Source organism: Homo sapiens, chromosome 21 (genome assembly GCF_000001405.40).
Source record: "Homo sapiens chromosome 21, GRCh38.p14 Primary Assembly".
NCBI lineage: Eukaryota > Metazoa > Chordata > Mammalia > Primates > Hominidae > Homo > Homo sapiens.
In genome coordinates this window covers 21186624-21213226 of record NC_000021.9, presented here as the reverse complement: position 1 = coordinate 21213226, position 26603 = coordinate 21186624, and the positions used below count along the sequence as shown (strand labels likewise).

Sequence of the window (26603 nt, the reverse complement as noted above, 5' to 3'; positions counted from 1 at the left end):
GCTATAGCTGGTATGAATGAATCTAGCAAATCTAAATGTAATTTTAGGTCATCAATTAAAAAGTAAAAAAGAAGATGAGTCATAATTCTTATAGATTAACAGGCAACTAAATATTCATTCATTCATTCATACATTGACTCATTTGGGGGACAACTAGTTAGTGATCTACATTTTAAAAGCACAGATAGGTCAGGCGTGGTGGCTCATGCCTATAATCCCAGCACTTCAGGAGGCCAAGGCGGGCGGATCATGAGGTCAGGAGATCGAGACCATCCTGGCTAACATGGAAACCCCATCTCTACTAAAAATACAAAAAATTAGCCCCACGTGGTGTCGGGTACCTGTAGTCCCAGCTACTCGGGAGGCTGAGGCAGGAGAATGGCGTGAGCCCGGGAGGCGGTGCTCGCAGTGAGCCAAGATCATGCCACTGCACTCCAGCCTGGGCGACAGAGCAAGACTCCACTTCAAAAAAAAAAAAAAAAAAGCACAGATAATTGCAGATTTACATACCAATATAAGAAGCAATATAGAGACACCTCATGTACATTTTGTCCAATTCCTCCACTGATAACATTTTGCAAAACTATAGTATCACAACCATGATATTGTCAATGATATGACCCACCTATCTTAGTCAGCTTTCCCCAGGTTTACCTGTATTCATTTGTACGTGTGTATGGGTGTGTGTATTAATCTCCCTATAATTTTATCATCTGTACATCTTTCCATGTCTACCACCATAGTCACAGGCATGACACCAAACATTGCCATCATCACAATGATCTCTCTTGCCATTTTGTACTCACACTCATTTCCTTCTCACTTGCCCCTCTGATGTTGCTAACCATTGACAATCAATAATCTGTTCTTCATCTCATAAATGTTACCATTTGAAACATTTTAGATAAGTAGAATTATACAACTTTTTTGAATTGGCTTTTTTCATTCTGCATAATTCGTGGAAAATTCATCCAAATTGTTCCAAGTTTAGTTTATTACTTTTTATTACTAATATTCGGTGATATGTATTTTGTACAATTTATTTAACCATTCACCTCTTGAAGGACATATGGGTTGATTCCGGTTTTTGGCTATTACAAATAAACCTGCTATGGATATTTTTGTAGAGGTTTTGTGTGAATGCATGCTATCATTTCTCTAGAATACATGCCCAAGCACGAAATCGTTGGGTTATATGGGTATTTGTACATTTAGTTTTACAAGAAACTTCCAAACAGATTTCACAAGTGGCTGTACTATTTTACATTCCCATCACCAATGTACAATAGATCCAGATTTTCCAAATCTTTGCCAGTAGTTGAGGTAAAGAACTGGGAATCAGGGTTAACAGGACTTGACAAGTTCCTATCCTCAGGAGCGTATAGTCAAGCCAGGCCAGAAACTCTCAGGCTGCAGTGGACAGTATATTTCTACCATAGGAGATAAGGAACAAAGGAAGTTAATATTCCATGAGAGAAATAAACGAAAGGGACATGTGGAAAGAAGCAGTGACCACAGCATAGAGCAAACTAACAGCACTTCAATGTTGGACCAAGCTGTTCTTTTGGAAAACGTGTGCCCTGTTTTTCTGTTTTGTTTTGTTGTTGTTGTTGTGTTGTTTGTTTTGTTTTTCCTGCAGCATGTATTCCATATTTCAGTATACTTAGCCTAGTTATTTTCTGTAACTGAAAGTAATAATAAAATAATTCCCACTAACACATTAGGTGGTAAAAAGTGCAACTGCGGTTTATGGTAAGGCTATTTCCAGAAACACATTGAAAATGCTAAGGATTCTGGGGTCAGACAGATTTGAATCGGACTAGAGTCCTGGCTCTTAGCATATGTAAGTCATCTATGGTCATGGTAAGGATTAAATAAAGTATGTGTATAAATGAAGTATCACAATTCCTGGTAAATACCACAGTATTTTGTTTCTCCTAGTAAAAATAATTTGCTGGAAGTCAGACATGCTTCTGATAAGCAAGAAGTTTCTGTGCTTTTTAGATGAAATGGCTCAAGAACTGCTAAGTTCGTATTCGGGGAGGAGATGGTGTTGACCTTGGAACTGAATCCAAATAAAGGTATAATTTTAAAAACAGTATTTAATCTGCACGTTTATTTAGTACAGAGTTTAAGATTCTTAAAATGTATTTAGCAATTTATGAAATAAATTGCTGGTGGAAACACTTGATAATACTAACCCGTGTGTGTGTGTGTGTGTGTGTGTGTGTGTGTGTGTGTGTGTGTGTGTGTGTGTGTTTGGGGAGAGTATTAGTAAACTCCTGTACTTCTCCTATATGGAAGCTACCTTGGCATCCAGTCTAGTGGCTTCTCCCATTTCCCACCCTCCCAACTCTCCCCCTCCTCTGCCTTACCCCACACCACTGGTAATTTATCAAAGTATCCCTTTGAACTACAAGACACATTCTCCCTCTAGGGGAGTTCTAGTAAATAAGATGTTCTCCACCTCATTGCCTTTCAATGACATTTTGACATTCCTTATAGATTACAGCCCTGGGCAATGGTCCAGCTGACCTGTCCTGTAATAAGTCTCTGGTTGCCCTTCTTCAAGATAAAGTGCTTCGTTGTATTTCCAGTCAACAAAGAGACCTTGCCTGTTGTGATAATCAAGGTAAACTTGTCCTCCTGAATCAGATCTCACCATCGTGGTACTCTTCAAATAACTCTGAAAGAAGAAATTGTTCTTTAAGTCTCTTACACCCTTTGAGTTTTTAATTACTTGTACTTCATGAAGAATTCTTACAGTAAATATGTCATGGAGTGTCCTGGTGCTCTTAAATATCTCAGTATTTTGAAAATTGTTAAATAAATTAATTCCTCAGCTTATAGAATCTAGGTGATTAAAGTGTTTTCAGGTTATGAACCTCAAATGATCAGGTAGTTTAGAATTATTTCCGTTTGTAAATAAACACTGCATTTTAACGTTTTATGTTTTCAATCTATTGCCTAAGTTCAGTAAGTACAAAAGAGGCAATATTTAGCAATGGATACAGTCTTGCCAAATTAACCCATTTTTCTAATAAAATGTCTCAATGTAACATGTATTTGATTAGAGATAACAGAAAACAATGTATTGCACATTCAAGTTTGATCTATCAATGCATTTCCATTATTTCATGGCATGAAAAGCCATTGTTTATTTTCTGTGTCCTCCTCTAAGACACATTATGGAGTATGAGCTCTTGACTTCCACAATGGAAAGTCGGCCAGCCCTTCCAATCCCATACTAATCCTGAGTTATTGCTAAGAAATTCTAAGTATGTGCTTGGACAAGTTTTCCGGGATGTTTTAGTCGCAATATCTTACCATAATGCCATGTTACTGTCTTTGGGGGTTGAGGGGAAAGTAATAATGTGGCAAGTACCATCTTTGGGGAACATAGCAAGATTCGGCTAGTGTCTGCCACTGTTTCTTCTTCTCAGTTTTCTGAGGGACACTACTCAGCCATTGTATATTCCATCTTATGTGTAGAACACACGTATCTTTTAATTTTTTAACACAGAGCAGACAATCAGAGCTTTCATGATAGCAGACTATAAAAGAATAGCATTTTATAACAGACAACCTCTGCAATAACCTATACCTTTGTTGATGGACCCACTTCCATGACTAGCTGCAAGTCTCCCTGCCCTTTTCCCATCCTGCCTCATGTGACCAGCACAAGCTCCCACCCATACCAGATGCCTCACTATACTTTAAAACCCAAGCTAGGCCAGGCATGGTGGCTCACACCTGTAACCCCACCACTTTGGGAGGTCAAGGGATTTGAGACTGGAAAACATAGCAAGACCCAGTCTTTCCGAAAAAAATAAAAATAAATAAATTAACTGGGCATTGTGTTGTACATCTATAGTCGGAGCTATCTGGGAAGATGAGACAGGAGGATTACTTGAGTCTAGAAGTTCGAGGCTGTGGTGAGCTGTGATCGTGCCACTGCAATCCAGCCTGGGTGACACAGCAAGACCAATCTCGTAAGTAAATAAATAAAACCCAAGCTAAACCCATTATCAACCCTAGAAATGGCAATAAATTCCTGACCCTGGCCTAGGGACTATTACCATTTGATGTTCTCAAAGTTATCTCTTAATAGGACGCTGAGAGTGGGGAACATCAAGGTGTCGATAAAGCAATCACATTAAAGTAAAAAATCAATATATTTCACAGATTCAGAATTATTTTTACATTAAATCACAACACAGATGAGGCATCAATGTGCCAGTCCAGGTTAAAAAAAAATGATCCTGTTCAACCCCTGCCTATTAAGGATACAAATCTTATAGCTCAATCTCAACCAGGTTTATGTTATTGAACATAGAACAAAGAAAAAGAAGAAAATATTTATAAATATAAGATAATTTTAGGTTGAATCTAAAAACTTACTGAGCATGATATAAAATGATGCAATGGGAAAATTATATTGGGAGTTTTAAGAATTAAATTGTCACTTATTTTTCTGTGGTGATTTTTGCCTATAAGCTAAGCAGGTACAGGAAGAAAATGTCAAAGATTTTTTTTTTCTTAAGGTCTCCTCTACAATAATCTCCACATAGGCAGTTCCACATTTCAAGTTTTCACGGTTTTAGAATCAGAATCTGATATCATCAAATAAACCCACTGAATGAAAGCTGAAACTTACAACCATGTATATTTTACCATAAAGAAGCTAAAATAAAAAGATGCTGTCTTTTACCCAAGGTCATCCTAACATTGAAAACAAGAAATAAAATTATGACATTTTGTAGATGTCAGCACACTTGGGCTCTAAATATTACAAAGTCTTCTAACTGGTATTAATATTACAACAGAGACATCAATTCCACCCTCCCCTGCTGCCTAGTACAGATTGGATTTTATTAGTCTAAAGACATTTAAATGGTTTGAAGTGATAATTAAAACATACTTTTAATATGTTCTATTTTATTCATTGTCAGTTGACTCAAGGTCATACACCATTGTCCATTGTTACATTCCACTTTAAACATTTTTTATTGTAATTTATACCTTGGAAGTATTTATAGCTTGGTATATTTTCAATATATCTTGGAAAATTCTTTCTAGCAACTGATTGTAATTAACTTCAAAGGGGCTTATGATCTAACACAGCATTTCAATTAATTTGGTTACTCAAGTTCACAGAAGCAAAAATTTAATAATGTATTAAACAGCTATTTAATAATTCATAGGCATAGTTTTGTTTATTTAAGTTGGAAGAATGACAGTCATACCTGTTTTACAGAACCCATTAAAAAGCACAATTAACTCAATGTTTCAGAGCTTCTGTTTAATTCTTCTTGACAAGTCATATGAAAAGGAAGAGACTAAAGCATCTGTATTGCCCTGATAATATGCAGTTTACATTCAAGTGTAATATTTAGTGGTCAGCCAATTTTTATGCATATGAGTTATAATGATATTTTACTATTTGGGGAGGGGAGTGTCTTCCTATATTTAAAGTTTTAGTTTTCTGTCCTCACATACTCTCAGTCTCCTGTTGATTGGCCAGTCCTCATGCCATCCTGGAATAGGTATTTGGAATGGGTACCTGAATCATCTACATAACCCATAGCTCAAGTTTGCACTTGCAGGTCAGAGATTTTTATAAGCCATCAATAACTTTGTGTCCTGTTCCCAATAGTCAGGACCTTATTAATTCTCTGTGGGAAAGCCCCAACTTACACCTTAGTTCAAATAGTTTACATTCCTGTTTTGTTTCTCTGTGTTACAGTCACAGTCTTGAATCCTTGCTTGGCATGACAGATTCAAACACAGTATCTTTAATTTCCATTGAGTATTCAAGTTCCATCTCTCAACACCTGCCCTAGTGGTAGATCACAGGAAAATTGTGCAGATATACAGAGCAATAATAACATCCAAGACAGATAACATTCTGCTTCTTCCTGAGTGCCAAAAATTACCATTGTACACATTATTTCCCACTCTTTAAATTAAAGCTCGAGAACGCTAAAGCTTTTCCCAATGAATAAGACAAATTTTATTTTAACATAACAATATTCTGATTAATGTGTGTTAAATGCTGTATGCATGCAAACAATTATGACTACATAACTGATAAGGTGTCTTGCACTACATCTCCATTTTATGTTAACATTCAATAATAATCACAATGTCTATAGTTTAATTTTTGATTTTCTAAAGTAAATGTGAAAATTCTTAAAAATGTGAACGGATGTGGTTTTGGCTTGTTGAGATACTGATAAATACCTTGTATAGTCTAAAGAAAAGGATATTGGCCATCTCTTCACCCATGGGCAAATTATTTGCTTACAGTTTTAATAATACATAATTTAATATCTATAATAATCTGATTTAACTGTAAATGTTATAGATACCAGACCAAGAAGCACTTTATATTATTCCATTGGGTTCCTGTTGAATACATGCATGCATTCATCCTTTAATTAATAAGGCTTACAAAAATAGTTACATTTTCTCCAATTTCTATACCAAAGAACTAAGGTACAAATTTAAGATATCCTACATTCCTAATTGTGACAAAATTGAAAAAGTTATAAAACATGTAATTTTATGTCGCAGAAGCATATAACAACACCTGTAACCTAAAGCCATAAAAACAAACTCCGTTCCCTACACGTAGGTTCTTAAAGCTTGTTTTGCCCCATGAATTTATTGCGGGTGGTGTTCGTGATGCCATTAAATGTTCAAACCCAGTAAGACTATATGATATTTCAACATGCTAAGGAGTCTTTCTGCAAGGTCATAGCAGCATCATGGATTATAATTAGTTTAGAATAATTAGGTGAATCAATTATAATTAGGTGAATCTACTTTTATATTCTTCCATACACAACTAATTTAAATAAGTTTTTGAAGGCTGTTTGAACAGTTAAGTGATAACAGAAGTTTTCAAGAGCTTTCACAACTTTATGTTGTAAAAATTCTGTCCTACCTAAGGTGTAATGGTGAATTTATTATTACAAAATAAGAATTTATAACTGTGATATGAAACTTAATGTATTACAAATGGAAACAAAATCCAAGTTAACCATCATTCTATCTCCCACACGCTACTCTGAATACTCTTCATTCACTTAATTAACATTTGCTAATCACCTATGATGTCCTAAAAAGCACAGTACATATTTTAGAAGAGATGAAATTGAATAAGTTGCTAAGAGTACTGCTACAATCTGAATGTTTGGGTCCCCTTAAATGTCATATATTGACACCTAATCACCAATGTAATAGTTTCAGGAGTTGGACTTTTGGGAACTAACTAAGTTATGAGGGCAAAGCTTTCATGAATGGGATTAGAACCCTTATATAATAAGCCACAGAGAGCTACCTAGTCCATTCTACCATGTGAGTGCACCACTAAAAGGTGCCATTTGTGAAACAGAAGACTGATCCTCGCCAGATACCAAATCTGCTGACACCTAATCTTGGACTTTGCAGCTTCCACAACTGTGTGAAATACATCTCTGCTGCTTATAGGCTACCTCAGTCTATGGTATTTTCTTATAGCTGCTGAATAGAGTAAGAAAATCACTCCTAACATTTCTTGAAAGTTTAAAGTTTTTCCTTAAAAAAAATTAAAGATCCTGGATATTTCTTCTAAATAGTCAACTATATAAACACAAATAATTTATACTGTTAATTGCATTTCCTTGTTTTCCATTTTAAATGAAAAAAAGTGTAGGCTTTATAATGTGTCACTAGTTATTAAAAATTATCTAAACTTAAAACAAGATATAAGCCACATAATGTACACAACGAAACAGGTCTTAAACAAAGATAATATACATCAGAATGCCCCCAAAATAAAGGCTACACTCCATCAGATTCTGATTCCACTGGTACGCAGTAGTATCCACAGACTAATATAAATTAAAATACAATTTTAAAGTGTCACAGTTAATTCTGACATGTTGACAAACAATGCAAAAACTAAATACAGTTTTATGAGAAAATTGTGATGAAAAGCCTGCAGGTGCATGTAGGAAATAAACAAATGTTCAGTTTGTGTATTAAAATATATTTAATTTTTGTCGGCAGGTGAAATATAATATCCACACCATTAATGGTAGATTAGGAGAACAAGAAATGAATACGGTTTACCGTTAGACTCTTTCTTGTGTGCACATGTCACACATATACATATACACGTGAATGTTCACTTGCATATATATATATATGTTATTTTGCAGAAACTTCCATCAAATATCTCAGAAGTCCATTATTAAAGTGAATGATATGTGTGCTTAGAAAAAGGAGAGTTCGAACTTACACAAAGGAGGCAAAGAGTGAACGGAAAGTGGAAATATCTACTTAAAAAGGATACGTTCTATATTTATATGAAAATTGTAGTCAGGAGAGTTACAGCAGCTCCTTGCTGTGCATAACACACCAAAAAGCAATTAAGAAAAACATTTTCCAGATGGCCATATGCAATGATATGAATAAATTGGCAATAGCCCAATTTTTCTAAAATATTTTTCTATATAATAGAGAGTAGATGTATCAGCAGTCTGATAAAGGTTCTTTCAAATAAAGTGGACAGTTGAACTTTGGTATATGTAAATATTCATGGTAGAAACTAAGGGATCTGTGTTAATCTGAATGTCAAGGTTAGATGACACCTTGTCAGAATATTGGCTAGAATCCAACTCTAATTTCCAATATGGCTTTCTTTTCAGCCTTAAAAAGCATAACAAGTTTGAAAATGTTATTTACAAAACAGCGAACAAAACAAATATCTTTCTTCCAAAGAAATCCCTTTGTCAAATTGATTTAAAAACATTATGCAACACAAGGTTAAATAGTGTGTTCTGTATCAAGTACCCTGTATAAGAAAGCTACCGAAAATCTCAAAAATAAAATATGACCACATAAATAAATCCAGCAATAACTAGGGCATCATAAATAATAATATTTATATTTTTATTACATGGCATGGCTGTCTATAAATAATTGCTATGCCAAGATGGCAGCAGCAGTAGACATCAAAGAGCAAGATGCTAAAATTGTAAGAACCAAGGGAGATAAAGGTAGAATCACTTATATGTGAGCTCTGACTCAGCAAATACACCTATGTCAAAATTGAAGATGGATCATGTGCAGTAACTGGAGGTAAAGGTAAACAGGTATGTTAGAAGACACTTGTTGATACTCAATAGACACTTGTTGAATGAGTAACTTCCAGTGTTAACTACGGTAAGTATTCTGCCACATTATCAAAGTGATTTGTTCATTAATAAGAGGAAACAAACAAGAAAAAATCTTATGGTTGTAAGTAAACTGATTACATATTGGCATAGCTCAAAGGAAGAACTCATGTAAAATGAATACTTAATAAACTTAAGTTATAAATAAGCCTCTACAGTCATAAACTAACCAATCTGGACCACAATGATAAAACATAAAAAGATCTCAATACCTACACACTTTAAGAAGTAATCAGGAAAAAATCTTCAGTCTTATCTGCTTCAAATACTGATATTTTAATTACTTACACTGTTGCCTATTACAGAACTTCTACAGAAAAGCAGCATCTCCTAAAGTTGTTATAATTTCTTCACTCATAAACTCTTGATTGAGCATATAGTATGTATTAGGAAATGCAATAGATTCTGTGATCCAGGAATGAATGATACAAAATTTGTAACCTGTAGGAAATCAGACTACTGGACAATTGTATAAGCAGTTCTAAATTCACTCACCCTGACATCATTACTGTACATATGAAATGATACTCCAAAGGAACTTTGTACAGGCAAAAACAAATGCCATTAAATCCAGGTGTGGAAAGTCTGGGTGGTTTACACTTACAGGCTTTCAAAAACTGCATATTCTTATCTTAAACAGATTTGTTTTTCAGATTTTCTTGGTGAAATATGTGAGCATAAATGAATAATAAGCAGATCTAGAGGTAGTAATTAACAAGAGAGGCAAGAAAACAAGACAAAGCAAAGGCCATAGGTAAAAGGAGCCAATTAATTTAAAAGTCTGATTCCTCTTACACGGGAGTCCTTCATATTTTAATTTTCAAAATATTTGTGCCAAGAATTCATTTGACAGTCTAGTGACTCTAACTCAGAATTGTAATTTAAATCTATAAAATCAAAGAGAGTTTCAAAAACACCAACTATATTCTTATAGAGTTCAATCCATTAAAGTTGGTGCTCTTGGACTCCAGGTTAAAAACTGAAGATTGGAGTAGCCTGTGAAATTGGAGACAAACAACTGTTATTGATAGTGATGGTCACAGTGGCAAATAACCATATCTGATATACCCTGATAAAAATATGATGAAATATATGTCCTAGAAATTCATCCATCCTACATTGATAATATTTTTAATAGATATAGGTGAAATGGAAAATATCCACTTATAAATATTTAAGAGTTTTCATTACTGCAAGTTAAAAGTTTGAGAACTTAACCTAATTTATTTGTTTTAAGTTCAACCTATTCAAAATTAATTACTTTTTATAGCATAAAAACAAAGCATGGGCCCGGCACAGTGGCTCACGCCTGTAATCCCAGCACTTTGGGAGGCTGCGGTGGGCAGATGATCTGAGGTCAGGAGTTCGAGACCAGCCTGACCAACATGGTGAAACCCCGTCTCTACTAAAAATGCAAAATTAGCCAGGCATGGTGGCACATGCCTGTATTCCCAGCTACTTGGGAGGCTGAGGCAGGAGAACCGCTTGAACCTGGGAGATGGAGGTTGCGGTGAGCCAAGTTTGCACCATTGCACTCCAGCCTGGGCAACAAAAGCAAAACTCCGCCTCAGAAAAAAAAAAAAAAAAAAAAAAAGGATATTTGCTTTATATTCAAGGCATGTAATTATAATACTTTAATGATAAGTATTCTAGCTCACATTTATTGAGCATTTATTTGGTGCCAGGCACTATTTTAGGTGCTTTACATTTCTTGGCCTATTTAATCATCACAACTACACTAAGAAATGTGTACAATTATTATCACCAGATTTATATGGTGGTAAACTGAAGCACAGATTAATTTATACAAAGTCACAAAACTGGGAAGTGGAGGAACATGAATTTTAACCCTGATATTCCAGCTCCAAAGCCAGCCTTGGCTCCTCACGACTCTCTAAAACCACTATGCTATGCTCCTTCCCCTTTTAAAGAAGGTCCTGTAAGGCTTGTGCTTCTCAACTCCAGATTCCATGAGACTTGCAAGAAACATTTAAGCGACACTGATGCATAGACCTCATCCCAGATACTGATTCTCAAGTTTGGGATACAGTTAGACCACCTGGAAGTCTTTTTTTAACATGATTTTGAGACCCATCCATATTTTCTGATTTAGAAGGTCTAGAGAAATATCTGAGAATTCAGATTTCTAAAAATTCCCCAGATGATGCTGAAGCTGTAAGTCCAGAGACCATTATTTGAGACCTGCTGCTCTAGAATACTGGAAAAAGAAAATCTGGAGTGACTGCATCTCCTTAAAGGATTCAATCGTGCAGCTAGGAATGAACCACTGCTTTACATTATCTACTTCATTAAACATGCTGTGGAAGATTACAACAATGAATATTAACAAAAACTGGGGTTGAACTACATTGTGTACCCAAGTTTAAGCATCAGAGATATCCATCTAGTGAATATTTAATCAGCCTGAGTCTTCCAGCTTCTATCCTTCTGGATAATACTTTTCTTTCCATTAATTCACTACACAAACATATCACTATTGTCCTTTAGTTTGTCAGAATTTCATAGTCATTTGTTGTTATGAAGTCATATTCAGATTGCCTAAGCTGGGATTCCCAGGATGTAAACTTGCTGTTTTGTGATTCTGGCATTCGCCTACTGGTCACAGGCCGTGGCACCTGTGTCATTAGGAGTATTCCTTACAAAAAGGCAGTGGGAGCAGCATAACTGAAAATCATGATCTTGGGGAATTGCACTGCTTTAGGTATAAACTATTTCATATCAGCTCAAATATAAACTTCTCTAAATTGGATAATAAACTCATATTCATAGTCTTCTCATATTTCCTAATAATCAATAAAATAAATTATACACGTGTATGGCAAAGAAATGGGATGAAAATGGGAAAGTTGTTTCACTTTGGAGATGTGCTTAGTAATCCGCACACACGGTATTAGGAAGTATCAGTAGTCTCTCATTAAGTTTCACTTTCATTAGGGCATTCTGTTGTCAAACTGCTTTGAAAGTGAAAATATATATTAAAATCATAAAAAAGTATTCTCCAATTATCCACTCATTAATATGCACTCTGATAGATAATGTTGGAGAAGATCTATACACATATTATCACTACACCCGAGAATCTGTGGTCTAGGGTTAGAAAAGTATCAGACAAGAAAACTCTCTCACACACACAAACACACACACAGTTTATAAGACTAATTTTATTTCTCAAAGATGGAACCAAAATGCTTTTGGGAGGGTTGACACTTCAAAAAAAAAAAAAAAAAAAATGAAGGGCCCCATTAATTTAGACCTATTTTTAAGGACAAACATGTTTTCATTTTTGTCCCTAATTGAGTCAAATAATTTCCTGTAAAATACAAGATAGCAGTGTGGTAAGTTAACCAGCAAAAAAAAAATGTTTATAGTCTGCATTTTCTATGAATCTGATTTTATGTTTTTATGTTTCACAGTGACCAGAAAGTTCTAAGGCTTTATAAATTGCATTTGACAGTTTTATCTGGCCACCTATTGGTTTCTATCTTCTTTATTTCTTAAACGTTGAAAAGTAACAGCTAGTAAAACTGTTAATGAAATACAATAAAGATTTCAAGGCTTTTTTTTTTTTTTTTCAGGCATGGGGTTGTCTTACTTGGAATTCTCAGAACCCATTCCTGAGAGTTGACGGACTATATGAGTCATGCGACTTCTGAGAACCCTCACGCAGCGTTTCCTGGTATGAAGGATGTGTTGTGACCCATGCAAGTCCATTTGATTATGTTCTAAAGTGTCATCTTTTTCAAAGTGCATTTCTATCTATTCTTTCATGGCATTGTTACTAGGGGTCAAGCCTGGGTTTCATGGGGATTGTTATCTGTCAGCTGAGTTAGTCCCATCTTAACTTTACCTTGGTTTATTACTCTCTTCTCTTTCTCTTTTGGGCTGCCTCCTTGAGAATTAAAAAGAGAGAGACAGAGACAGAGACATTTTCTTTCTTGGAATCCCTGACAATTCGGGGGCAGTCTTCATGGAGTGGCAAAAATTATCTTGCGTTAACATGCACAGCAATATAATTAAAAGCATGTGAATTCTCTCTTTAGTGGCCACTTATGAGAGTGTGTAAGCCATTGTATTAATAATTAGTAGTAGTTAAAGGCCCAGCCTCTAATGGTGAACCATTTTGACAAACAGAAGACACGAGATGTGACATAAATAGCTCACATTCATAAGTATAAGAATGCCATACGATTATAGAACAGGACAACAAAACTTCCATTAATAAAGTTTTTACAAACTGACATAGGCCTATCCTATTATACTGGACATAATCTATGCAGTGGTAATGTGTATTTCTTACGTAGATATTAATCTTACTTTATTATTTTTGTGTTCTTTACTGAGGTCATGAAGTAAAATCATTCAAAGTTGATTGGGACTATAGTCTGAATGAGATCACTACTCTCAAGGTTAGTCATTTTCACAGGAAGACGCTCTTTAGACAGGTCATCAGAATTGGAGGAAGACCCTAGACAGGAGCATGCCTCCATGTCTTGCTCCCTTGGGCCTGGATGCTAAGCTTCAGCTGCTTTTTCTCCAAGCTCAGTCATGAGGTTTTTCATCTCTACCCAGGTCTGAGCCACACAAGTCCGAATTTGGAATATTTTAGATATGGTTGTAACAACCTGCTAGTAGCACTGGGTATGTGTGTTTGCATATGTATGTTTGGGCACCAGGCATTTCAAAATCTCTGGCCCTTATGAAAGACAGGCAAGTTTATTAATGCAGAGCTCTCTGACTGTTTTATAATTGGAAACATTTTGCAATGAAAGACATTAATAAAACCTGAATCCAAAAAAATATCCTGGAGATATTAGATGTTCCTTAGAAGTGGAGGAGGACTGACTCTTTCCACAAACTATAAATGAAAATAGGGATATCGAAATGTAGAGTGGTCACACAATGCATACAAACTGGGTTACATTTAAGACTTTAAAGAGAAATGATTTTTTTAAATCCTAGGACAAAAATCATAAATGGGACTGTTCCAGCAAACCAGAACAGAAGGTAACCCTACATACAGGAGCTCTTAACTGAGCCTGAATTTGCCACCCAGATACATAATGGAAAGTGAATTTTCCATGTTTGCATCCTTTTATTTGATCTCTGAGACACTGGTAAAAACTCTCTTGAATGCTTCGTTCTGGTCTCTGACATTTATATTCATTCAGAAATCTCATAGCAAGTACTTTTTTATGTGCTAAGTTTCATGCTGTTGATTTGAAGGGTGTACTGTAGACAATATAGAGAGAAACAGGGAAGTTTATAGCCACAGTAGGCAGGGGTCTTAAAGAACACACGATGTCTGTTTTTTCTGTTCCCACAGCCTTGCTCCAGTAGTTATTATCAACAGACCTTGAGAAGAAAGTGAATCTTGAGGACAAGAGTCAGAATGATAAGAATTATTTTTTCTACATTGCTAGCCTTGGATAGTCAATGCTTCATTTTATTAAGTGAACTAGCAGGTTTCCATTCAACTTCTAAAGCATTTTAATTCATCTTTCTATAAGGTCATTCTCTATTCAAGGTAAGAAAGTGATAATTCAGTGCATTTTTTATATCATTTTCTTTCCAGTAAAGTACATTCCGGCCAACTTGAAAGAACATTTTCATCCACTGTATTCTACATGATTATTCTTACTCAAAGTAAATGGAAAAAAGAAACTTATACTTACTTTAATTGCATTAAAATGCAAATTGATAGAATCCAGTTAACTATATTAAAAATTTAGAAAGGACAGATCACCAAATGAATACACACACACACACACACACACACACACACACACACACACACACATATACTTTACATATTTAAAAAAATAACTAGATTCTGTTTAGGTAGATAAGTAGCAGCTGAAAAAATTCTGAAGAATAAATATATATAAAAATACATAAAAATGGTTTTCATATATGTTAACTCACATGATTACCCATAAGAGTGATATGAACCAGGTAAAGTAGGAAGTTTTAATATTAACATAATTTGGCAGAGGAGGAGACAGGCATGGAGACCACTGGTTATATCTCCAGTCATAGTAACAGTAAAGGCAACATTCAAACTCAGTATTTTGTCACCAAAGGTGCAATGCTGTCCATTTCACAATGGCTAAATGATATTTTGGCTCCATGTTAGACATGCTCAAGAACTTCCCTCCCAACCCCCTCAGTAGTTGCCTAGAAAATCCCTCAGCTCAGTCTACTGTTTCTTATGATCCCAGTCATCTCTATATTCTCAACTCGTTGGCCATAGAGTTGGAAGGGAATTGGTAAGGCTTATCCTTCATAAGAGAAAACACAGAAACGATATGTGTTAGACCTTGCAAAGTCCTATTTTAGACAGAAAATGCAACGTGTTCATCAGGATTTTAGATTTGAAATCCCTGAGTACTGCTTTATTTCTATGCCTCTTAACATATGGCTTTATGCTTGGAAGATTTAACAGAGCGGCTTCTCTTTGGTTATAAAATATATTTTGTTTGCCTCAAGTATTTGTCTGTTTCTGCACAGCTACAAAGAAACACCTGAGACTGGGTACTTTCTAAAGAAAAGAGGGGCTGGGCACGGTGGCTCACACCTGTAATCCCAGCACTTTTGGAGGACAAGGTGGGCAGATCACTTGAGGCCAGGAGTTCGAGACCAGCCTGGCCAACATGGTGAAACCTCATCTCTACTAAAAATACCAAAGTTAGCCAGGCGTGGTGCTGGGCACCTGCAATCCCAGCTACTCAGGAGGCTGAAGCAGGAAAATCGCTTGAACCCGGGAGGCAGAAGTTGCAGTGAGCTGAGATCGTGCCACTGCACTCCAGCCTGGGTAGCAGAGTGAGACTCTGTCTCAAAAAACAAAAACGAAACAAAAATGAAACAAACAAAAAAACGAGGTTTAGCTAGCTCACAGTTCCACTGGTCCTATGGGAAGCATAGTGGTTTCTGCTTCTGGGGAGGTCTCAGCGAGCTTTTACTCACAGAAGAAGGCAACACAGGAGCAGGTGTATCTCACATGGTTGGAGCAGGAGGAGTGAGGGGAAGGTGCTACGTGCTCCACACTTTTAAACAACGAGATCTCCCAAGAACTCACTCAGTACGACAGGAACAGCACTGAAGGGGACGATGTTAAATCATTCATGAGAAACGGCCCCCATGATCCAATCACCTGCCACCAGGCCCCACCTCCAACACTGGGGATAACAAGCGGGCATGAGATTTGGGTGGAGACACAGATCCAAACTAGTTCACCTCAAAATAAAATCACAACATTTTATTGTGATTAAATTTGATTTTTCAGAGGTCTGTGCTCTCCAGTTTCTGGCCCCTGCCATATCACCACCACACTCACTACTTGATACTTGAAGTCACTCACTCCACAAATTACTCACTTCACTCCTCTAGAATTTGATCTTGTGACCCTAGGGCCTAGACTATACATTTGTGGATGAGATCCATACATCTTATGTCACAATTTGGATTCTTTGTGAAGTAGAGTCCAAGAAACATCTAGTGCTCAAGAATCAACCCCTGTGGAAAGGAGGGCAGGAAGCAAGGATTGAGAAGAAAGAAAAATTCAACTGTGATGTAAAATGAAGGCCCAACAGGTTCAGCAATCCTCATAGGAAGCTGTGGAACCGAAATGGCTCACCAGAGTTATCTTGTGTTGGGAAGAAATGGTCAGTCCTTTTTGCCCAGCCTCAATCAGTCATTGGATGTGGGTTGACCCAGGAAGGGCATGATTCCTGGTGAGGTAGCTCTCTGCGGTTGAGGCAGTCCTTAGGGGTGCTGACAGCTAAGTCTGACAAAACTCCCAGAAGGAGGAGCAGCAAATTCTTTCTTAAAGTGGGAACTGAGTGGGCTTTCTCAGTGTCCACCACGCCATAGGACCTTAATCACACTAAAGAGTTTTTGGTTAGAATTTAAATCATGTAGGATTACAAAAACTTCATACACTGATCCAGCTTAAGTTGACTGAGAATGTAAAATATATTTTGAGAAGTCAGATTATTTTAATTATTTAAACTCAGATATTAATCACCTCTGTCACAATTTTAAACTACCTCTCCATCCTCATTATAAGTACATATGATCAATGTAGATCACACAGTTTTATTTCTTCATTCAGTGACTTAATTCCTAGGTTTGGCACTTTTGAATGTATAAAACTGAGAAACTATTACTAGAGTCTGACTAACATTTCATTTTTACACTTTGGAGTGTGCATTACAGCTACAGCAATCATGTCTGGAGTATCGCACATGCTGTCAAAATACATGTTCAAGAGTCAGTTGATCAAACACACATCAGAATAATTTTTAGTCATATCATTTTCTTATCCTTTTCTACAAAACAGAAAATGTCTTTCAGATTCTAGATTTTGCTTTTTACTTATCATATAAAAACCTAGTTCTTGCTAATGCTGTTATATTAATGTCAATTTTGAGAGTTTTATGCCCTTGGGATGATTTCCTACAGACAGAATCTCATGTCATAATAGAAGCAAAAACATAGTGATGCTGAAAAGAAGAATGCACATTCATTAATTATTCTGCTCTTCCTTTGAACTCTGTTTTTAACTGAATATTTCATTTTCTTATGCATGTACTTCTGTTTAGGTCTTTATGGATGAGATACATACTCAAAGCTTTATCTGTAGAATAATTTTACTGAAAGTTGTAAACATGGCATACTTTTAAAATTCAGATTTTTCCCCTTTATTCCATAGTTTACGTTACTAAGTTGAGGGTTATATTTCCTACATCTTAGCAATTTTACAAACTTATGCATGTTTATTTCTTTGAGGTTCTATGTGTTTCCTACCAAAATATAGCAATACGAACAAATGAATGATGTTTGTTTCTGTTCTCCATTCCTATATTTCCTCAGTGGTTGCTGTAACACTCATTCCCTAATCTTAAAGTCATAACATCTTCTCTACTCCTTTCATTATCATTCATTTCACAGAGAAAACTGGACACACAGAAATATAAACACTGCATATTCTAATTTATATACAGATCATAAAAAATTTGAATTCTTAGAAGCAGAGACTGAAGTGATGGTTGCCAGAAGCTCAGGGTGATGGAAATGGGGAAATGTTGGTCAAAGGGTACAAACTTCTAGGCAAAAGATGAAGAAGTTCAGGAATTCTTATGTACAACATGAGTGGTGATGGATGTTAGGTAATTTGATTGCAGTAATTATTAGACAATGTATACATATATCAAATCACCCCCATTGTATACCTTGAAAAAATGGATATTTTATTCAGCCTATATTTGTCAATTATTTAAAATTTAAAAATACAAAATAAAATATTGAAATCTGTCAAGTTTGTGTCTCTCAATTTAATTTTGTACATATTTAATACCATAGCTGCCAATTTTGTACATATTTAATACCACAGCTACCAGTAAGATTTATTAGTGCTACTGGACTCATGGAAACACTGAGTGTACAACAGAGTGATAAGGATAATAATGTGTTTGCCCCTTACTAGTGTAAACTACCTTGAACTAGTTAAATTTTGTGTCCATTTATCTAGGTTTTCACATCTTTATAAAATAAAAGTATATGAGTTAATAGATGTAAAAAGTTTAGGTCAAGTCCTAAGATATAATAATAACTCAGCAACTCTCTTTATAAATGTGGTTTCATTCATATCCTTATGTTTCCAAGTCCCTCTAGCCTGAAATGATTTTCTGATAAAGAATCAGAGAAATGAATAACCACATGGCAAATTAAAATATACTTAAATGAAAAAAACATATACTAATTGCAATTACAGTTTTAATAATAGAGAAATTGGAGCTGTTGCTGAAGCTTAGAATTTGTCCTATTATGGAACTGTACATTGTATTCCATGTATATATGGAACTATACATTAAGAACGTATTTCTAACGATAAGATTAAATGTAGGTTGTACGTGTCATCATATTTTCATTCTTTCTCATTGCTTTGTTTTTGGAAAATTGTGTAATATTTTTGGTATTTTCATATGAAATTAAAACACTTTAATACAAGGCACATAAAATTCAGTAAAAAAGTATCATCAAGATTAATAAAAACATTTTAAATTCAATACCCATATTTAATTGTAACAGTTATATTCTCCTCAAAATTTGAAATAATAATGCAAGAATAACAATATGTTGGGAATTTCTCAATAGAACTGTAACTGTCATAAAAATGAAAATAACTGAGGCCAGGTGCGGTGGCTCATGCCTGTAATCCCAGCACTTTGGGAGGCCGAGGTGGGCGGATCATGAGGTCAACAGATCAAGACCATCCTGGCCAACATGGTGAAACCCCATCTCTTCTGAAAATACAAAAATTAGCCAAGCATGGTGACACGCCTGTGTAGTCCCAGCTACTCGGGAGGCTGAGGCAGGAGAATTGCTTGAACCCAGGAAGCAGAGGTTGCAGTGAGCCGAGATCGCGCCATTGCACTCCAGCCTGGCGACAGAGCGAGACTCCGTCTCAAAAAAAAAAAAAAAAAAAAAAGGAAAAGTACTACTCCTATATTCTCACATTATTGTCAACTGTTTTATGAGGTTTTTCACTTTTGTTTTCCCTGTTATGACCACAATTATTCCCAGAACAGGCTGTACTTAACTTCCCATTTCTGTCAATCATGACTAAGTAGCTTTGTCTTTTCTTCCCCTCAGCATGGCTATAACAGGAAGAATTTACAGGAAATTTCATTTATTATATATTAAAAAAGATAATAATCTAATAAAATACCAATATTGCATACCTATAATCCTTTCATTCATTTAACTGTAATCTGAGTGCTTATTATGGATGCAGACTGGCTAGACATGATAGACACAGAGAGCTTTACTGTTACAATGGACTGGGATAAACAGAGAGATGGGGATAGTTACCTTGAATAATCCATAAACGGAGCTTTTGTTTACAGCCAGTATCTATTTAATTCAAAACTAAGTATTTTAAATAGAAAAGTTAATCTGAAGAAGAAAAGGATATAGCCCATGATTGGTAAGTGTGTAAAGTATTCTTGTATCTTTCATAAAGTTGTGTGCCTGTGTCTAGTCTATCACTCTACTCCCCTTGCCTCACGACACTAGGATGTACAGATAATATCTTGAACCTGGTGTTCTGGTCCAGGAAACCTCTTTCTTTCAAGACTCTTCTTGTGTGTAATAATTATTAGGTCTGAATGGCTGACCTCAACTTGCAGGTGCATTGTGACCTCTTCCCATGCTAGAACCATGTCTTATTCACTCTATTCACTCACGGTTGTTTTGTTTGTTTTGTTTTTTTTACCTTCACCATCAACCTCAGCCCTTTGTGGATTTTTCATTTGTTTGTTTGTTACGCTGTCCTTTCCAAAATTCTCCCTTTATTCCTCATTTCTCTACAACAAACATCCCAATTCTCTGCACCCTGTTCAGCTAAACTTTTTGTAAGTAATGCTTATTTGTATTGCCTCTAATTCTCTGATTCACTTCTAAATCCTCTTCAGTTTAGTTTCAGCACCCACCATTGCAACCAACAGGCTTGGTCAATGTTTCAATTACTTCCATATTTTAATGTCATATGTGGACTTTATTCTATTTATCTACTCTATTTACTCTACTCTAAATGCTCTATTTACCACCTTCTTTTGAAACAGTTTCCTCTACACTTTGCTTTAGAGCACAGTCATGATTCTCATCCATCTAAATTGCTTTTCTTTCTCACTCTCATTTGCTTCTTCTCCTCTCATCGGGTTTTTTTTTAGTTTTTTTGTTTTTGTTTTTTTGTTTTTTGAGGGAGTTTCCCTCTTGCTGCCCAAGCCGGAATGCAATGGTGCAATCTTGGCTCACCACAACCTCTGCCTCCTGGATTCAAGTGATTCTCCTGCTTCAGCCTACCGGGTAGCTGGGATTAGAGCAGCGCGCCACCATGCCAGGATAATCTTTTGTATTTTTAGTAGAAGCGGGGTTTCACCATGTTAGCCAGGATGGTCTCAAACTCCTGACCTCAGGTGATCCGCCTGCCTCGGCCTCCCAAAGTGCTGGGATTACAGGGATGAGCCACCGCACCCAGCCTCTCTTCAGGTTTTAAATACCAGTCCTCTTCTCTATTTTGCTTAGGTGATCTAACCCTTCTTCTCTATGTCAACAAGTCAAAATGTAACATTGTTCATCCCCCACTAGGTTGCAATCATCCTAAGGACAGTGACCTCATCTCTCTTGTTCTCATTTGTATTTTCAGTGCCTGGCTTTATTTCCTGCTGCACAGAAGAAACTCAATAAATACTGAGGATGTAGAATAAATTAATGATGATAATTAAAATTAACGAAAACAAGCCAAAACAAATAGTGCCAATATGTTTCATAGAGCTCTATCTAAATTATCTCTGATTTGCAGAGCTTCACAAATCCTACCAAAGACAAGAGAAATCTGATAACTCTTACAACTGCTTTAAATATCACACAGTTTTGTATGTATGTAAACTAAAGGCATAACATTAAAATTAAGTTGCATATAGAATAACTGATTTAAAGTAAAGCATGTAAGTTTGTGCTAAGAAAAGAAATACATATTTAACTATATAATTATAAAAATTTTAATTGTTTCTGAAATCATTGCTACATGCTTGAATATGGAAAGGTCACAACAGGATTTGAGAACATTAAGAAAAGAAGTCAGGGAAATCCATCATTGGTCTTATAGCCTATAATCAGAACATCATTACAAGCCAAATGAGTGTAATTTGTCACTTTGAAAATTCTCAGGTTGAGAATCAGGTCATTTCAAATACCTATTTTCACAGGGCAAACAGGTCATGCAGTCCACCTGTTCTGTATATTTCTCCCAAATAACTTTCAAAGTGGTTGACTCTCTATAAACTATCATTCATTGCTAAAGGGACCTCCTGACAGTTTCCCTCACATGGCCTCAATTTATAATTAGCTTTTTATACTATATCTAGAGAGAGAATTATTTGTAAAAAGCTTTTAGATGGTAGTTTGACAGTATCTAATAAATACTGTATGTAAATATACACGGCCTTTGATCTAACATTGTCAGTAACAAGATATCCAACTAACTGTAATTTATAACAATATTAGCAACAATAATTTTGTGGAACTTTACATATGCTTTACATATGCTACTTTACATATGGTAGGAATTCTGCAACTCATTTATTCCTCAAAAGAGCCTATAAGGTACATGCTATTCTTAGACTCATTTTACAGGTAAGAAAATTAAGGCACCAAGAAGATAAATAAAAGTTGTCCAAAGTCATCCTGTGAGTAAACAGTAGAGCTAAAACTTGATCCCAGGCAGGCTTGTTCTAGAGTCTCTTCTCACTTTCTGCACTAGGCTGTCTCAAATATATACATGAACTGAATTATGTCAGTGGAAGAGAACTGGGAAGATTCCTAAACCAAACTAATAGTGCATACTTAATCTCCTTCCAAGTGTATTGTTAGCACCAGCGGTAATAAATAACCAGAACACTGAAGAAGAAGACTCAGAGTCGAACCAGAAGAGCAAATTTATTTTTATCCTATTGCCACACTGAACTTACTTAGTGATGAAATTTCTTCTCTTGCCCCTGGATAAAAAGTTGGGCATTGAAGATGGGTGGGTAGATAAGAGAGGCAAAGCAACTAAGATCTTACTTGATTGGTAATGCCCAAAGATAGCTCTCGATTCTTGGAACTGGGAGATGCTTAAAACTAACTCATTTGTTCAGAGCACACATTCTGTAGGTTTTTGGAAATGTTTCCTTACTTGCACTAACACTTACAGATATTGCTTATTCACTTTTTAACAGCCAGGGATCCAGTGGTTTCTCCCCCACTTCTGCCTGGTCAGTTTTCATTGCCCAATTGCATAGAGTCTAAATCAAGTCCCTTCTTCCCCAGTGAATGCATCTCTTCTGCATAGTCCAAATTTGGTCAATGTAAACACATATGCATTCTTCTCTTGGATATAATGCAGAAATTAAGAATGATCGCAACTTAGCAGCTGCTCTCCTTTGTTCCATTACAAATACAAATAGAACCACCTTGCCCATCTATCATGGCAAGTTTCTGAGTAACTAGGCAGACACCACTTGACGGCATTGCTCTGACATTAAGAGACACATACTGGGATTTCTATGTAGACTAGTTAAAGGCTGACCAGAAAAGACTAGAGCATAAACTCACATCCTTGCCTTTGCATCAGAATGGAGTAAATTACTGGCAATTTTCCCCAAAGAAATTAATTTCAGAAAGACCCTTCTATAAACATATCCAACAAATTCATCACTTTATGATTTCTAGTGGGTGAGGATTTAAGAGCAATATAAAAATAATCAGGTTTCAGATCACTTTTGAAAATGTCAATCTTGCTTAACTTTCAATTATGGTACTTTCTAAAACTTGCTAAAATCAAGTCTGGAATTTATTTTTTTTATTTATTTTTTAAATAGAGACGAGGTCTTGCTGTGTTACCCTGGCTCATCTCAGACTCCTGAGTTCAAGGGATCCTCCTGCCTTGGCCTCCCAAAGTGCTAGGATTACAGGCAGGAGCCAACACATCTGGCCAAGTTTGGAAATTTTAACATTCACTTATTAATCCTTGACATCCTCATTTGCACAATTTTTAAATCTTATCTAGAAGCAAATGAGTTTATATTTTCAGCCATTATTAACTTCAAAGGCACCCTTTAAGAAATGACCCAGTTTTATTTTTATTTTATTATATATTAAAAACTTCACTTTCAACGTATTTGCTATTAAAATAGAGACCAACTGAACAAAACATTAAAAATAGAATGGTTTAATACCATTGATTTGGCTTCAAAATACATAGTTTCTTATTATTTTCTATGGGATTAAAGGCAAACCCCCAAACCTGATGAACTTTACTACTCATTTGTACAATACAGAAGTGAGTCTAGATAAATGCTAAAGCTTTCTTGGTTCTAACACTGTATAATTTAAAATGCACATGTGTTCTGTTGAATGCTTGGAATCCCTGGAGGGTTCTCATAAGTTTCTGGGCTGGTTTCCAAGACACCTGCCCCATTTAATCTGCCTTACTTTTATACTTTGTATATAATGGGGCCTTACATCAAATTGAACTTGAAGAAAAGGTTCTGTGCTCTGAAGGGTTTTAAAATTTATTTTTTAATTACCACTCAAGGCACATTAAATATATCTAGCTCTTTATATGCCTTTGTTTCTTAAATGGACGGAACCAGTCACATATCTTATGTATCCTGTGATCCACAAGATGCATATGATGTAATTAGCTCTATCCTTCCCTGCAATTCACTGGCATTACGTAATTTTGTCATCTACAATTTACACACATTTGAGTATCTGCTTCATGATTTAAAAATCCAAGGGCCCCTATGAAATTATTTATCAAGCACTTCTTTTAGTCCAGAGTCTTGCTTACTATTAAGGGGACATCAGTAGAATTATATCCTGCATTATGTTTAATAAGAGCTTCCTTTAGAGAATAACACAATGATAAGAGAATATTGGTGCTATTTTAACCCATAGCTAGTTATAGAAAAATTTTAGTCTTTTATAATAAATATTACTTTTTGTTTCAAAGTATATTTATTAAATAACTTTCACGGATATGTAATTATACCATAACACCATCATCAAACATGAAAAACAATACCTCCAAATTTGTTCTCACTTCCATATACTACTGAAAATTGGCAAAAATTTGTAAGTATTTATTATCTATTGCAGCTGTTAGCAGATCTTAACCTATATCTAAATAGTTATTTGCTTTAAATATTGCTATTGTTTGAATTATCTGCTTCATGCTCACTTTCCCAGTCCCTTACTTGTACTTCCTTATAGGAAATCTGCTTGTCCTACTTCAAATATATAATATGAATATTACAGAACAATAAAAGGGCAAGGCTACTTAAATTACATGTAACCAGGCTGGGTAAAATTATAAACACTTCATTTTGACCCTGTAAAACACTCAGACGTAGTCAAATAAATGAATATCCTCCATTTTTGCACAAGTACTTATTTGTGTTAACACAGTGAGAATCACATGTATCATACTCATTTAGCTTGTGATGAAATTGTCTAGAAGTACATTTTTATAATAAAGTTTGAAGTCTAGAAGTTCAGACACACTATTTAGCTGACCCTGACGACATAATTTCCCCTATAGATTTCTAGTCTCAAGACAGTTCGGTGTGTTATCTCACTAATGTGCTCACTCAGTAGTGAGTCAGGTTTAATGAATACCCAAGGCATAACAATTATACAAACTGGGATGGTGTAATCCTCAGGAAGAAATAAAGTTTTAATAACTAGCACCATTTTGTGATGATCTTCTATTTACATGGTTTATGTCATGTCATAGTTCTATTTAATTCCAAATCATTTATTTAACTGTTCCTTTAAAATGACTTCATTGAAAAACAGAAAGTAAAAGATGCTTTCTCCTTTGAAAGCCCTCCATGACCCAGAGCCTACACATTATTGGGAATAGGATGAAGTCTGATAAATGTAACTGAATGACATAGAATTTCCCTTTTTTGTTGTTGTTGTTGTTGTTGTTGATGGAGAAGTACAATATGGAGGTTGGAGGCTAAAACTCACCAGGGAAAGAAACGTTAAAAAGTATGTGGTGCAGCATGACTATGTGAACTAATAAGTATAATTTTAAAATGATGTTGTCTAGTAAAATTAAATAGTGCTATCTTTAGCTGTGGCTACTCAAATTAGTAAGTATAATACATTCAGGGTTTTTTGTTTGTTTGTTTGTTTGTTTGTTTTTAGACGGAGTTTCGCTCTGTCGCCCAGCCTGGAGTGCAGTGACGCTATCTTGGCTCACTGCAACCTCCGCCTCCCAGGTTCAAGGGATTCTCCTGCCTCCCGAGTAGCTGGGACTATGGGCACAAACCACCACACCTGGCTAATTTTTGTATTTTTAATAGAGACGGGGTTTCACCATGTTGGCCAGGCTGCTCTCGAACTGCTAACCTCAGGTGATCCACCTGCCTTGGCCTCCCAAAGTGCTGGGATTACAGGTGTAAGCCACTGCGCCCAGCCTCAGATTTTTTTAAAAAAGGATACCTACCCACTTTGTTTCCCTTTCCAAATTTTATTATCTTTTTTAAAAATCAAAAAGAAACTGATTTGTATATTTACAATCGTATTTTTGTTTTTAGGCAGAAGCTTCATAGAAAATTATTTTTCTGTTCTTTTTTCAATGTATTTTCAAAGATATATAAATAAAGCTATTCTTCATCATCATGTAGATCATCTTTTATATATGAAGGAATAAAAATTGTAGAAAATTACAAGCATAGGATCTACTCAGATAAATCATGTTTATGTCCAAATAATTCTTTTCATATTTTAACCTTTTACTAA

The 26603-nt window shown here is 35.6% G+C and overlaps 1 protein-coding gene across 15 annotated transcripts in view, besides 1 other annotated feature; it reads right to left on the bottom strand.

Annotated features, from left to right (window-relative positions):
* The window catches only part of NCAM2 (neural cell adhesion molecule 2), a 544921-nt gene that overhangs the window by 330103 nt on the left and 188215 nt on the right, over positions 1 to 26603 (bottom strand). For 7 of the 15 annotated variants that reach the window (NM_001352592.2, XM_011529575.4, XM_047440784.1 and 4 more), the window contains exon 2: positions 2536 to 2686. The exons of the other annotated variants lie outside the window; for them this stretch is intronic. In NM_001352592.2, the coding sequence (NP_001339521.1) occupies positions 2536 to 2665 (130 nt within the window). In that variant the 5' untranslated portion in view covers positions 2666 to 2686. The remainder of the gene's footprint in view (positions 1 to 2535; positions 2687 to 26603) is intronic. 15 annotated transcript variants of the gene reach the window in all.
* Positions 22883 to 23177: a silencer, noted in NCBI's record as "tiled region #4841; HepG2 Repressive non-DNase unmatched - State 24:Quies". NCBI's record gives its function as "represses a minimal TATA promoter and a strong SV40 promoter by Sharpr-MPRA in HepG2 cells {active_cell/tissue: HepG2}" and the evidence as "EXISTENCE:reporter gene assay evidence [ECO:0000049][PMID:27701403]".